Consider the following 14,751-nt stretch of genomic DNA (forward strand, 5'->3'; position numbering starts at 1 on the left):
GCTCACCGGCCGGGCTATGTTGATTGTCCCCTCGCGGCGCCCGGAAGCGACCCTCAGTAAACAAAGCCGTGTGTGGGCGCAGCCCCAGAAGCCTGGGGCGCGCAGTCCAGCCCAAGAGAGGCGGGGGAGGAATGTTGTGAATGAACCCCGGGCCCGCCCCGAAACTCCGCATAAGGCCTGGGCCGCGGGGGTCCTCCCACTCTGATTGGCCTCTGGCGCCCCGTGATTGACAGCGCCCCTCGCTGTGCGCTCTGGTTGGGTAAACAAGAAAAGACTGGCATCGCAGTCATCGAGTGAGCAGCGAGGCTTGGACACGGGTCTGGCGGCGCAGCCAATGGCGGGGGAGGGCCGAGGAGGCCGAGGGGGGGCCAATAGGGACAGGCGGTGGGGGCGGGACGACGGCGGAGCTAAAGCGGCGGCTGAAGCAGCTTCATTGTTGTGAAGAGTCTTAAAGGGGCCGCATCACCCTGCCGGCCCGGCGCGGGTCGGGGGTGGGTGCGGTAGGGGTCCCGGGGCGGCCGAGCGCAGAGGACGGACGGGAAGGAGGGCAGGGGGCGCGGGAGCCGGCGAAGCGGAGCGGGCATCGGACCGAGCCCCCCAAAGAGGCCCCGCCCCGGCCCTGGCCCCGGCCGGGCCGGATGGAACCCCCCGCGGCCAAGCGGAGCCGGGGCTGCCCCGCGGGACCCGAGGAGCGCGATGCCGGGGCCGGGGCCGCGCGTGGCCGGGGCCGGCCCGAGGCGCTGCTGGACCTCAGCGCCAAGCGGGTAGCCGAGAGCTGGGCCTTCGAGCAGGTGACCGCGGGGGAAGGGGGCGGGGGCAGGGACGCACCCCCAGCACCTTCCCCACCTGTCTTCTCCTCCCCCACAATCCCCAGACTCCAGAGCTAACCCAATCAGAGACACCCCCTGAGATTCCACCCCCAGGACCCTTAACCCTGCCTGGAAACACCCCCTCATCCTCCTGTTTCTGTCCTTCAAACCCAGTAACCCACCCCCATCCCTTCTCTGCCATCTCTGCCCCTCAGCGCCCCAGATCCCAAATCAGGACACTTCCTTCTTCTCCTACCAACCCCAGATCTCTGAGATCTGGCCCCCATGGCCCGCCTACAACCCTGGGCACCCCTCTTTTCCCGCCTTATCCCCCAACGGTACCCCTCTTTTCCCACCTTATCCCCCAACGGTACCCCTCTTTTCCCACCTTATCCCCCAACGGTACCCCTCTTTTCCTACCGCATCTTTATTCGCCAATCAGGGCACCCCATTCAGTCTTCAATCCTCTCTTCGGCCCCCCGCTTGGGGACACCCTGTCTCCCTCCATCGTAGCCTCTAGAGACTCACACTACCCCATTCCTGCTCTCCAGATCCCTACCGTACACCCCAAGTAAATAACTCCCCCATCTCTCCAGATTCCAGCTCAAGACACCCCTTTTTTCCCCATTCATTCCTGCCCTCGAGCCTCCAGATTCCACCTGTTCCTTGGGGACCCCTCTCTACTCCTCCAGATTCCTCTTTCGGGGCTGCCCGTCTTCTCCTGGCTTGCCGCAGGGATTACTGAAATGCCAGGGTCCCTCCTCCTCCCCACCTCATCCCCCTGACCTATCCTATCTCTTCCCATAGGAAAACAGCAGGGGCGGAGCCTGGGTGGTGGTCCCTGGACAGGTGCACCTAGAAGCTCTCTTCTGTGGCTTCTGGTGGCACTGACAGGATGTCCCAGAGCTGGGGCCCTTTAAGTCCCCTTTTTCAGCTTCAGTGTGGGCCCCCAAGGAACTGGAGACATGGCCCAGACTTGAACAGGAAGCACACACGGGCTCTATCCTCTGTCCAGCTTCAGGGGGCGTTCTTTCCTGCCCGGCCTCTCTGGAGTTAGGAAGTCGGCCTGGACGGATGGGTTTGGGCCAAGTGTGGATGGGCAGGCTCTGATTCATGGACTGGAAAATCCCTCCTTAGTCATTTGCCAACTGTCCCTGAGGCCTGGGCTGGTCATTGCCTCTCCCACTTCCCCTAGAAACCCAGGTGGAGTAGGGGCTAAGGAGGGCCCCTTCATTGCATGTGAGACACACAGAACAATCTGAAAACCATCTCCGAGCCTCCCACAAACCTGCCCTGGCCAAGCCGAGCCCTCAGAGTTCTTGACCCACAGAAGCTCATGGAATCCCCTGCAACCCTTTGGCAGTTGTTCTTGTTCCCACTTTGAGGAAACTGGGGCACAGAGAAGTTGAGAAACTTGCCCAAGGTCACCCAGCCAGGGAATAGCAAGTCCAGATTGGAAGGCAGGCTCAGCCAGCTCACTGTATTGCCCAGAGCCCACAGCGGTGGCCAGGACACCCCCTCCCCTCCTGGGGCCCCTTCCCAGGGATGGGGCATGGAAGGGAAACTGAGGAACGACAGAGTCTGTCTTAGGAGTTGAAACAACTCACAGCTCTGGGACCCTGAACAAGTGAATTCATCCCACTAAGTCTCAGATTCTCCCAGCTATAAAACAGGTTCATGATTTAGTATCAATGTGCCATCAAGGGTGTTCAATCTTTTAGCTTCCCTAGGCCACACTGGAAGAAGAACTGTCTTGGGCCACATATAAAATGCACTAACACTAACAATAGCTGATGAGCTTAAAAAGAAAAGAAAAGAAAATCTTTGTATTTATTTATTTATTTATTTATCTGAAACGAGTCTCAGTCTGTTGCCAAGGCTGGAGTGCAGTGGCACGATCTCGGCTCACTGTAGCCTCCACCTCCTGGGTTCAAGCAATTCTCCCGCCTCAGCCTCCTGAGTAGCTGGGACTACAGGTGTGAGCCGCCATACCCAGCTAATTTTTGTATATTTAGTAGAGATGGGGTTTCACCATGTTGGCCAGGCTGGTTTCAAACTCCTGACCTCAAGTGATCCTCCCACCTTGGCCTCCCTCCCAAAGTGTTGGAATTACAGGCATGAGCCACCGCACCCGGACGTATCTTATAATGTTTTAAGAAAGCTTACGAATTTGTGTTGGCCTGCATTCAAAGCTCTCCTGGGCCAGGGCCGTGGGGCGTGGGTTGGACAAGCTCACACTAGGTGGCTGTGAGAATTTGGAAATTACATACATAAAGTGTTCAGCATAGTGTGTGCATTCTTTTCTTTTCTTTTCTTTTTTCTTTTCTTTTGAGGCAGAGCCTTGCTCAGTAGCCCAGTGAAACAATGATTGCGCAATGACACAATCATAACTCACTGCAGCCTCAAACTCCTGGGCTCAAGCAATCCTCCTGCCTCAGCCTCTTGAGTAGCTGGGATTCCAGACGCCCACCACCACACCTGGCTAATTTTTAATTCTGTGTGTGTGTGTGTAGACATGGGGTCTCACTATGTTGCTCACGCTGGTCTGGAACGCCTGAGCTCAGGCAATGCTGCCGCCTCAGCCTCCCAAAGTGCTGAGATTACAGGTGTCCAGCCAAGATGGGCACCTTAATCATTATTATCACTTTTTTCTAACTTCTTCCTGCTCCACCAAAGCCTGGTGGGTGGGAAGATCTCACAACAGAATCCCAAGACCCTGCAGCTAGGAGGATCCAGGAGGGAAACCGCAAGAAAGTTCTAGAATGCTAACTATGGGCCAGGTGTTATTGTAAGTTCTTTAAGCTCTTTACATCCATACTGCATATTTAGTCTCCACAATCCTCAAGAGGTTGGTGCCGTGGACCTCCCCACTTTACACCTGAGAATACTGAGGCCAAGTGACTTGCCTGGGGTCACAGTGCTCCTAAATAGTAAAGCTAGGATTCAAGCCTCGGTTTCTCTGTTTTTTTATTTTTATTTATTTATTTGAGACGGAGTCTCGCTCCGTGGCCCAGACTGGAGTGCAATGGCGCAATCTCGGCTCACTGCAACCTCCGCCTCCCGGGTTCAAGTGGTTCTCGCGCCTCAGCCTCCCAAGTAGCTGAGATTATAGGTGCATGCCACCACACCTGGCTAATTTTTGTATTTTTAGTAGAGACGGGGTTTCGCCATGTTGGCCAGGCTGCTCTCGAACTCCTGGACTCAAGTGCACCAACTGCCTTGGCCTCCCAAAATGCTAGAATTGCAGGCATGAGCCACTGCCCTGACCTATTTTTTTTGAGATGGGATCTTGCTCTGTTGCCCAGGCTGGAGTGCCGCTGGTGCAATCATGGCTCACTGCAGCCTCAAACTCATGGCCTCAAGTGACCCTCCTGCCCCACCCTCCCAGGTAGCTGGGATTCCAGATGCATGCCACCATGCCTGGCTAATTTTTTTTATTTTTTTATTTTTTTATCTTTTTTTTTTTTTTTTCGAGATGCAGTCTTGCTCTGTCACCCAGGCTGGAGTGCAGTGGCATGATCTCAGCTCACTGCAGCCTCTGCCTTCCAGGTTCCAGCGATTTTCCTGCCTCAGCCTCCCGAGCAGCTGGGACTACAGGTGCTCACCACCACACCCGGCTAATTTTTTTTATCTTTAGTAGAGATGGGGTTTCATCATGTTGGCCAGGCTGGTCTTGAACTCCTGACCTCAGGTGATCTGCCTGCCTCGGCCTCCCAAAAATCCTGGGATTACAGGCGTGAGCCATCGTGCCCGGCCAGTTTTTTTGTAAAGATGGGAGCCTCTCTATGTTGCCCAGGCTGGTCTCGAACTCTTGGCCTCAAGCGATCCTCCCTCCTAAGCTTCCCAAAGCGCTGGGATTACATCAACCCCAGGCTCCTAACCCACTGGCCCTTCCTACAGGTGGAGGAGCGGTTCTCCCGGGTGCCTGAGCCCGTCCAGAAGCGCATCGTGTTTTGGTCGTTTCCACGCAGTGAACGGGAAATATGTATGTACTCGTCGCTGGGTTACCCGCCCCCAGAGGGCGAGCACGATGCCCGGGTGCCCTTTACCCGCGGGCTGCACCTGCTCCAGAGCGGGGCCGTGGACCGCGTGTTGCAAGTGGGTGAGTCTTTGTCCCCCACTCCTGCTGGGGAGGCCAGGAGGTCCATACCAGGCCTGGAAATGGGGGAGTTGGAGGGAGGCCTGGGGCCAGGGGATGGGAGGTTACAGACCTCAGGCTTCGAGGCCCAGATAGGATTGTACAAGATTTTTTTTTTTTTTTTTTTTGAGACGGAGTCTCGCTCTTTGGCCCAGGCCGGAGTGCAGTGGCGCGATCTCGGCTCACTGCAAGCTCCGCCTCCTGGGTTCACGCCATTCTGCCTCAGCCTCCCGAGTAGCTGGGATTACAGGCGCCCGCCACCGCGCCCAGCTAATTTTTTGTATTTCTTTTTTTTTTTTTTTTTTTTTTTTTTTTTTTTTTTTTTTGAGACGGAGTCTCGCTTTTTCGCCCAGGCCGGAGTGCAGTGGCGCGATCTCGGCTCACTGCAAGCTCCGCCTCCCGGGTTCACGCCATTCTCCTGCCTCAGCCTCCCAAGTAGCCGGGACTACAGGCGCCCGCCACCAAGCCCGGCTAATTTTTTGTATTTTTAGTAGAGACGGGGTTTCACCATGTTAGCCAGGATGGTCTCGATCTCCTGACCTCGTGATCCACCCGCCTCGGCCTCCCAAAGTGCTGGGATTACAGGCGTGAGCCACCGCTCCCGGCCCCATTTTTTGTATTTTGTATTTTTAGTAGAGATGGGGTTTTACTGTGTTAGCCGGGATGGTCTCGATCTCCTGACCTCGTGATCCCCCCACCTCGGCCTCCCAAAGTGCTGGGATTACAGGCATGAGCCACCACACCCAGCCTGTACACGATGTTTTGAGCAAAAGCTCAAGGATCACCCTAGAACCCAGGCAGCAGGGTTTAGACAAGGGGTTGGGGGAGAGGATGGTGAACCAGAAACAGGGGAGGAGAGATCCCAGAACTTACACATCAGAGCCCATGTAAAGGAGGGGTGAGGCCAGATGTGGTGGTTCACACCTGTGATCTCAACACTTTGGGAGGCCAAGGCAGGAAGATCACTTGAGGCCAAGAGTTCAAGACCAGCCTGGGCAACACAATGAGACCTTGTCTTCACAAAAAAATCAAAAAATGAGCTGGGCATGGTGGCGGGTGCCTGTGGTCCCAGGTACATGGGAGGCCAAGGCAGGAGGATCGCTTTTGCCCGAGAGGTCGAGCCTGCAGTAAGCTATGATTGCACCACCGTACTCCAGCCTGGGTTACAGAGCGAGATGCTATCTCAAAGAGAAAAAAGAAAAAAAAAAAGGAAGAGAGGTGAGGGCCACTCTAGGGACAAGGGTAGAGGTTGAGACATGGTGGTGAAGGTGCCAGACCTCAGGCTTCAGGTCCAGATGGGGTTGGGTTCGGGATTATGAGCTGAAGGTGGAAAGTGCTCCTAGAGCCCTAGACCTCAGGCTGCTGAGCTGGGGAATGGGGAATGAAGTAGTGAGACGGAGAGAAGAGCAGGTCCCAGCTGAGGATCAGAGAAGCAGCTGTCAGCCAGCAGTGAGAGGAGGCTCCAGACCTCGGGCTGAGGGACCCAGTGATGCTTTGGGCCAGGGGTTTAGAGCCAGAGGTAAGAATGATCCTAGACCTCAGGCAGTGGGGCCCACGTGGGAGTTGGACACAAAGATTTAGAGCCACAGGTGAGAGTCTTAGACCTCAGGCAGAGAGGCTGGGATTTCAAAGGCTTAGAGCTATTGTTGAGCAATGGTCTTAGACCTAAGGCAACAGGGCTGAGGTGGGAATGTAGAGTAGAAGTTTAGAATTCTTTTTTTTTTTTTTTTCCGAGATGGAGTCTTGCTCTGTTGCCCAGGCTGGAGTGCAGTGGCACGATCTCAGCTCACTGCAACCTCCACCTCCCAGGTTCAAGGAATACCCCTGCCTCGGCCTCCCTAGTAGCTGGGACTACAGGCACCCGCTATCATGCCTGGCTAATTTTTGTATTTTTGTAGAGACAGGGTTTCACCATGTTGGCCAGGCTGGTCTTGAACTCCTGACCTCGTGATCCACCCGCCTCAGCCTCCCAAAGTGCTGGGATTACAGGTGTGAGCCACCATGCCCAGCTTAGAATTTTTTTTTTTTTTTTTTTTGAGATGGAGTCTCACTCTGTTGCCCAGGCTGGAGTGCAGTGGCACAATCTCGGCTTACTGCAACCTCCACTTCCTGGGTTCACACCATTCTCCTGCCTCAGCCTCCCAAGTAGCTGGGACTACAGGCACCTGCCACCACACCCAGCTAATTTTTTCTATTTTTTAGTAGAGACGGCGTTTCACCGTGTTAGCCAGGATAGTCTCGATCTCCTGACCTAGTGATCCGCCCGCCTCAGCCTCCTACAGTGCTGGGATTACAGGCATGAGCCACCACGCCTGGCCAAATTTTTTTTTTTAAGAGATAGAGTCTCGGCCGGGCACAGTGGCTCACACCTGTAATCCCAGCACTTTGGGGGCTGAGGCGGGTGGATCACCTAAGGTCAGGAGTTCAGCCTGGCCAACATGGTGAAACCCCGTCTCTACTAAAGATACAAAAATTAGCCAGGTGTGGTGGCACATGCCTGTAATCCCAGCTACTTGAGAGGCTGAGGCAGGAGAATCAGTTGAACCCGGGAGGCAGAGGTTGCAGTGAGCCAAGATCATGTCATTGCTCTCCAGCCTGGGCAAGAGAGAGAGACTCTGTCTCAAAAGAAAAAAAAAAGGGAGATAGGGTCTCACTCTGTTGCCCAGGCTGGAGTGCAGTGGCGCGATAATAGCTCACTGCAGCCACAAACATCTGAGCTCAAGTGATCCTCCCACCTCAGCCTCCCAAGTAGTTGGTACCACAGGCGCAGGCCACCACACTTGACTAGTTTTTAAGTTTTTTGTAGAGACCTGGTCTCACTCTGTTGCCCAGGCTGGTCTCGAACTCCTGGGCTCAAGAGATCCTCCTGCCACAGCCTCCCAAAGCACTGGGATTACAGGCGTGACCCACCATGCCTGGCCAAGTATCAGGTTAAGATCAGCTGTGAAGGGTGGGCTCAGACCTCAAGCTAAGAAAACAAAAGGGCTGCAGAGACTGGGAGAGATGTAATGAGAATAGTGGAAAGGCCTTGGATCTCAGGCAGCCAGACTCAGAAAGGGACCAGTAGAGGCTGAGCCAGAAAACAAAAGTGAGGCCTGGGACTCCAGACCTCTGGCTGCAGCAGGCCATTTCTCCCAGCTAGAGGTCGGGGCTGGGCTGATATGATGCCCCGTCGGCTCTATCTGCTTTGGAGCCCCTTTGCTGGGACATGGCCCCGCTGACCACGGGCTCCTTGCCACCTCCAGCTGGTATGAGGAAGCCATCTCCCTGCATGACCCAGGCTGGGCCTGAGCTGCCGAACCAGTCAGATGAGCCTGGCACCTGGGCTGCCCAGGGAGGGGCAGGGGGAGTGAAGGGGACACCTGGCCCCTGGCTTACTTCATCAGCCCCTCGCCCCAAGCGCCACGGGTCTTTGGCATTTTCTCAGGAAATTGAGGGGCTCCTGAAGCCCTGGCCATATTCATTGTAACCCAAGGAATCAGAAAACCACCTTCAATGTCATGGTATGATACTATTCATAATTAAAATAAGAGCAAGTGTTGGGCTGGGCTCGGTGGCTCGCGCCTATAATCCCAGCACTTTGGGAGGCCGAGGCGGGTGGATCACTAGGTCAGGAGTTCAAGACTACACTAGGTCAGGAGTTCAAGACTAGCCTGGCCAATATGGTGAAACCTGATCTCTACTAAAAATACAAAAGATTAGCCGGGCATGGTGGTGCACGCCTGTAATCCCAGCTACACAGGAAGCTGAGGTAGGAGAATCGCTTGAACCCAGGAGGCGGAGGTTGCAGTGAGTCAAGATAGCGCCACTGCACTCCAGCCTGGGTGACAGAGCAAGACTCTGTCTCAGAAAAAAAAAAAAAAAAAAGCAAGTGTTTACTTAGGACTTAACTTCATACCAACAGCGTTCTAAGCCTTTTTTTGAGACAGAGTCTCATTCTGTTACCCAGGCTGGAGTGCAATGGTGCGATCTCAGCTCACTGCAACCTCTGCCTCCCGGGTTCAAGCCATTCTCCTGCCTCAGCCTCCTGAGTAGCTGGGATTACAGGCGCCCGCCACCATGCCCGGCTAATTTTTTTATATTTTTAGTAGAGACAGGGTTTCACCATGTTGGCCATGCTGGTCTTGAACTCCGGACCTCAGGTGATCTACCAGCCTCGGCCTCCCAAAGTGCTGGGATTACAGGCATGAGCCACTGCGCCGGGCTGTCTCTTCTAAAAATACAAAAATTAGGCTGGGCACCGTGGCCCACGCCTGTAATCCCTGCACTTTGGGAGGCTGAGGCAGGCGGATCACCTGAGGCCAGGAGTTCAAAATCAGCCTGACCAACATGGAGAAACCCCATCTCTACTAAAAATACAAAATTAGCCGGGCATGGTGGCGCATGCCTGTAATCCCAGCTACTCGGGAAGCTGAGGCAGGAGAATCACTTGAACCTGGGAGGTGGAGGTTGCGGTGAGCCGAGATCACACCATTGCACTCCTGCCTGGGCAACAGAGCAAAGCTCTGTCCCAAATAAATAAATAAATAAATAAATAAAATTAGCCGGGCATGGTGGTGTGTGCCTGTAATCCCAGTTACTTGGGAGGCTGAAGCAGGAGAATCGCTTGAACCTGGGAGGCGGAGGTTGCAGTGAGCCCAGGTCGCAGCACTACACTCCAGCCTGGGCCACAGAGCGAGATTTTGTTTCAAAAAAAAAAAAAATGCAAAGTGAGTGAGGTGACTTGTGCTAGTGAAGTGACTCGGCTGGGCTTTGCAACCGGGTCTTGCTGTGTACCACAAACACCGCCTGTCTCTGGGATGACACGGATGCGACAGTTTGGCTTTGATCCTAGGATTCCACCTGAGCGGAAACATCCGCGAGCCAGGGAGTCCTGGAGAGCCCGAGCGCCTCTACCATGTCTCCATCAGCTTTGATCGCTGCAAGATCACGTCCGTGAGCTGCGGCTGTGACAACCGCGACCTCTTCTACTGTGCCCACGTGGTGGCCCTGTCCCTGTACCGCATTCGGCACGCCCACCAGGTGGAGCTGCGGCTGCCCATCTCCGAGACGCTCTCCCAGATGAACCGGGACCAGCTGCAGAAGTTCGTGCAGTACCTCATCAGCGCCCATCACACTGAGGTGCTGCCCACTGCTCAGCGCTTGGCTGATGAGATCCTCCTGCTGGGCTCCGAGATCAACTTGGTGAATGGTAAGGGCACCCCGGGGGTCCGGTGGGGAGAGGATGCCCAAGCGCACAGCCACGCCACTTGCTGTGTGCCCAGTGCTGGTCACTTACTGACAGAAAGTTGTGGGGGCGGGGGGCGGAAAACGCGCCATGGCCTGCATCATCTGAGGTCACCCACCTGGTGAGTGGCAGATCCCAGATATCTGGACACAGGACAGATGAGTAGTTGCAAATCAGCCTACGGGCAGAGGGCGAGGGCAGGAGGGGAGATCCTGCGTTAGAGGGCAAGTGGGAGGTCTGGCCCCAGGGCTGGGTATGTCAATAGATGGAGCATCCTGGGTATGGGAGGAGAAGAGGGGGCGTGAAGGGAATGTGGGACGTTTGTGGGTGTCAGAGGTGTTATGGGTGAGGGGATACACCAGGAGGCGTGGTGAGGGCTGGGAGGGTTTGGGGGGCTCCGAGGGGCTTGGGTTGCCTAGCTAGGATGGGGAAGGTGAGTAGTAGGTGGAGGCATGGATGGATGATGGAGGGAGGTGCTGGGTGGGTACAGAAAGTGTTCGTGATTGGCTGGGCGCAGGGGCTCACACCTGTAATCCCAGCACTTTGGGAGGCCGAGGTGGGCGGATCAGTTGAGGTCAGGAGTTCAAGACCAGCCTGGACAACATGGCAAAACCCCATCTCTACCAAAATATAAAAATTAGCCGGGCGTGGTGGTGGGTGCCTGTAGTCCCAGCCACTCAGGAAGCTGAGGTGGGAGAATGGGTTGAACCCGGGAGGCAGAGGTTGCAGTGAGCTGACATCGCGCCATTGCACTCCAGCCTGGGAGACAAAGTGAGACCCTGACTCCAAAAAAAAAAAAAGCGTTCATGATCAGTCACTGAGGGCAACTGATGGTGTGGAAAAACGAATGGGTGGGTGGGGGATATTTTTTTTTTTGAGATGGAGTCTTCCTCTGTCACCCAAGCTGGAGTGCAGTGGTGCAATCTCAGCTCACTGCAACCTCTGCCTCCTGGGTTCAAGCAATTCTCCTGTCTCAGCCTCCTGAGTAGCTGGGATTACAGATGCACACCATCATGCCCGGCTAATTTTTGTATTTTTGTAGAGACAGGGGTTTCCCCATGTTGGCCAGGCTGGTCTTGAACTTCTGACCTCAGGTGATCCACCTGCCTCAGCCTCCCAAAGTCCTGGGATTACAGGTGTGAGCCACCACACCCAGCCTGGACGGGATATTAACAATGCCGTTAGGTGAATGGGAATTGGAAGCTGAGTGTGGTGGCTCATACCTATAATCCCAGCATTTGGGAGGCTGAGGAAGGAGGATCACTCGAGACCAGCAGTTCAAGACCGGCCTGGGCAAAATAGGGAGACCTCCTCTCTACAAAAAATAAACAAAAGTAGTTGGGCATGATGGCACACACACGCCTGTAGATACTTGGGAAGCTGAGATGGGAGGATCATGAGCGTGGGAGGTAAAGGCTGCAGTCAGCTATGATCGTGCTACTACACTCCAACCTGATGACAGACTGAGACCCTGACTCAAAAAACAAAAAAAAAAAAAGAAGGGAAGGACAGAACTGGTGGTGATTGGAGGTGAGGATGAGTGGTTGGGTGGGGAGGGCTTTGACTAGTGGAGTTAAGGTAGACTGACAGTGGTGGACAGATGAAGTTAGTGAAAGAATGAAAGATCCAATGGGTACATGCATTGGGAGTGAGTTGATGGGTGAATGGAAGGAAGGTTCACATATGTGGATCAACATCGTGGGTGGGCAGAGTGGGTGGGCGCTTTGTGTAGGGTGGATGGATGGACGAATGGGGTAGTGGGTGTTTTGAGAGGTACATATGAATGGATGGTTTGATAATGAATGGGTGGTTTAATGGAAGCATAGAGAGTTAGGATTAGTTATTGGGTGATAACTAATAGTTATCACCTAGATAACTAGGGTTAGTTATTGGATGATAGTTACTGGGTGGGGTGGATAGTGTACTTGTGTGGGTCAATGGACAAATGGGCGGGTGGGTATTTTGAGTGGTTAGTTCACGTGGATTGGAAAGATAAAAGGGGTGAGTGGGCAGATAGATCAATAAGATGAGTATATAGATGGGTGGATGGGTGGGAATTATGGGTAGGGTGGATGATGGACCCATGATGGGGTAGGTGGTTGTTTAAAGGGTATGGACATGTGGATGAAGTGAAATGGGGGATATGGCCAGGTAGATAGAGGCTGGCATGACTTGGGTGGGGGTGGATAAGTGGGTTGTGTTTCAGGTGAGACAGATGAGTAAACAGATGGGTCGGTGGTGTTTTGAGTGGGATGGGTAAATGGATGAGTGGATGGGTAGATGGATAGATGTGTAGTGTTTCAGGAGAGATAGATGAATGGATTGGATGGGTAAGTAAATGGATGAATGAACAAATGGATGAATGAGCTCCTGGTGTTTTGGGCAAGATGGATGGATGGATGGATGGATGGATGGATGGATGGATGGATGGATGAATATTACTACAGGGGAGATAGATGGATTGGATGGATGACTCAGTGGATAAATGAGCAAATGGATGAGCTGGTGGCGTTTTGGACAAGATGGATGGATGCATGGATGGATGGACAGATGGATGCATGGATGGATGCATGGATGGATGGATGGATGGATGGATGGATGGATGGATGGGTGTATGGGTGTATGGGTGTGTTGTGTTTCAGGTAAGATAGATGAATGGATTGGATGGGTGATGTATTACTCTGTTCTCACACTGCTATAAAGACATACCTGAAACAGGTTAATTTAAAGGAAACAGGTTTAATCGGCTCATAGTTCTGCAAGCTACACAGGCTTCTGCATTTGGGGAGGCCTCAGGAAACTTACAATCATGGCGGAAGGTGAAGGAGAAGCAAACACATCTTCACATGGCTGTCAGGAGAGAGAGAGCGAAGGGGGAGACACTACACACTTTCAAACAACCAGATCTCATGAGAACTCTATCATGAGACAACACTAAGGGAATGGTGCTACACCATTAGAAACCATCCCCATGATCCAGTCACCTCCCTCCATGCCCCACTTCCAACTCTGGGGATCATAATTCAACATGAGATTTGGGTGGAGACACAGAGCCAAACCATATCAGATGACTAAGTGGATGAATGAGAAAATGGATGCATGAGCTAGTCATGTTTAGGACAAGATAGATGGATTGATGGAGGGATGGATGGATGGATAAACATGAATAGATGGTCGGGTGGGATGGACAAGCAGATGGGTGGGTGGGGTTTAGGTGGGATGGATGGAACTTTAGACTGGGTTGGGTGACTTGGAAGAATGGATGGATGGGTCGGGCACAGTAGCTTATGCCTGTAATCCCAGCACTTTGGGAGGCCAAGGCGGGTGGATCACCTGAGGTCAGGAGTTTGAGACCAGCCTGACCAACATGGTGAAATCCCGCCTGTACTAAAAATACAAAAAAAATTGGCAAAGTGTAGTGGGGCGTGCCTGTAATCCCAGCTACTTGGGAGGCTAAGGCAGGAGAATCACTTGAACCCGGGAGGCAGAGGTTGTAGTGAGCGAAGATCGTGCTACAGCACTCCAGCCTGGGCAAGAAGAGCCAAACTCCGTCTCCAAAAAAAAAAAAAAAAAAAAAGGACAGCTCTCCTCAACCCAACCCAACCCCAACTCCAGCCCCAGCCTCAGCTTCCTTTCCCTCCCTCCCGGCAGGTGCCCCAGACCCCACCGCCGGCGCAGGAATCGAGGACGCCAACTGCTGGCACCTGGACGAGGAGCAGATCCAGGAGCAGGTGAAGCAGCTACTGTCCAATGGCGGCTACTACGGGGCCAGCCAGCAGCTGCGCTCCATGTTCAGCAAGGTGCCGTGCGGGCCGGCGGGGCGCGGGGTGCAGAAGGCCCCGGCGGACGCCCCAGCCCTTCCTCACCACCCTGTCCCCGGCACAGGTGCGGGAGATGCTGCGAATGCGGGACTCCAACGGGGCGCGCATGCTGATTCTCATGACCGAGCAGTTCCTGCAGGACACGCGCCTGGCCCTGTGGCGGCAGCAGGGCGCGGGCATGACGGACAAGTGCCGGCAGCTCTGGGATGAGCTGGGTGAGGCCCAAACCCCGGTGCGTGGTGGACACCGGGACTTCGGCTCCCATGGGGGCTGGCCCACTCCAAGATTAGGGTCTGTTCCCTGAATCCGCCCTCCATTCGTTTGGCAAACATTTATGAGCGCCTCTAAAGTGCCAGGCATGGTACTGGGCACTGGTGGTCCGGCAGAGAACAAGAGAGTCAAAATCCTGTTCACGTGGATCTGACAGGAGGCACAGGCAATCAAATGTCATTGGCCCAGGGGTTGATACACACGTACACACGTTTTCTTTGTTTTGAGACAGGGTATCACTCTGTTGCCCAGGCTGGCGTGCAGTGGCACAATCTCGGCTGACTGCAACCTCTGCCTCCCGGACTCAAGTGATCCTACACCTCAGCCTCCCAAGTAGCTGGGTCTACAGGTGCACACTACCACATCCAGCTAATTTTTAATTTTTTGAAGAGACAGAGTCTCACTATCTTGCCAAGTCTGGTCTTGAACTCCTGGACTCAAGCAGTCCTCTCACCCAGCCTCCCAAAGTACTGAGATGACATGCAT

At 54.1% G+C, this 14,751-nt stretch overlaps 1 protein-coding gene across 12 annotated transcripts in view, besides 3 other annotated features; it reads left to right on the forward strand.

Moving 5' to 3' along the window:
* Positions 67-556: a silencer, noted in NCBI's record as "silent region_10209". NCBI's record gives its function as "represses an Ori minimal core promoter by ATAC-STARR-seq in GM12878 lymphoblastoid cells {active_cell/tissue: GM12878}" and the evidence as "EXISTENCE:reporter gene assay evidence [ECO:0000049][PMID:35858748]".
* The window catches only part of ZSWIM4 (zinc finger SWIM-type containing 4), a 36,812-nt gene continuing 22,493 nt past the window's right edge, over positions 433-14,751 (forward strand). For 8 of the 12 annotated variants that reach the window (XR_007066949.1, XM_017027153.2, XM_047439236.1 and 5 more), the window contains exons 1-5: positions 433-791; positions 4,710-4,911; positions 9,782-10,138; positions 13,826-13,974; positions 14,060-14,210. Coding sequence is in view for 11 of the 12 variants with exons in the window: in XM_017027153.2 (XP_016882642.1) it covers positions 639-791; positions 4,710-4,911; positions 9,782-10,138; positions 13,826-13,974; positions 14,060-14,210 (1,012 nt within the window). In the remaining variant the exon portion in view is untranslated. The other 4 variants (XM_017027156.2, XM_047439237.1, XM_017027154.2 and 1 more) reach the window with 3 other exon arrangements.
* Positions 577-786: a silencer, noted in NCBI's record as "silent region_10210". NCBI's record gives its function as "represses an Ori minimal core promoter by ATAC-STARR-seq in GM12878 lymphoblastoid cells {active_cell/tissue: GM12878}" and the evidence as "EXISTENCE:reporter gene assay evidence [ECO:0000049][PMID:35858748]".
* Positions 1,027-1,096: an enhancer, noted in NCBI's record as "active region_14137". NCBI's record gives its function as "activates an Ori minimal core promoter by ATAC-STARR-seq in GM12878 lymphoblastoid cells {active_cell/tissue: GM12878}" and the evidence as "EXISTENCE:reporter gene assay evidence [ECO:0000049][PMID:35858748]".

The sequence above is a fragment of the Homo sapiens genome, chromosome 19, assembly GCF_000001405.40.
Source record: "Homo sapiens chromosome 19, GRCh38.p14 Primary Assembly".
Lineage (NCBI taxonomy): Eukaryota > Metazoa > Chordata > Mammalia > Primates > Hominidae > Homo > Homo sapiens.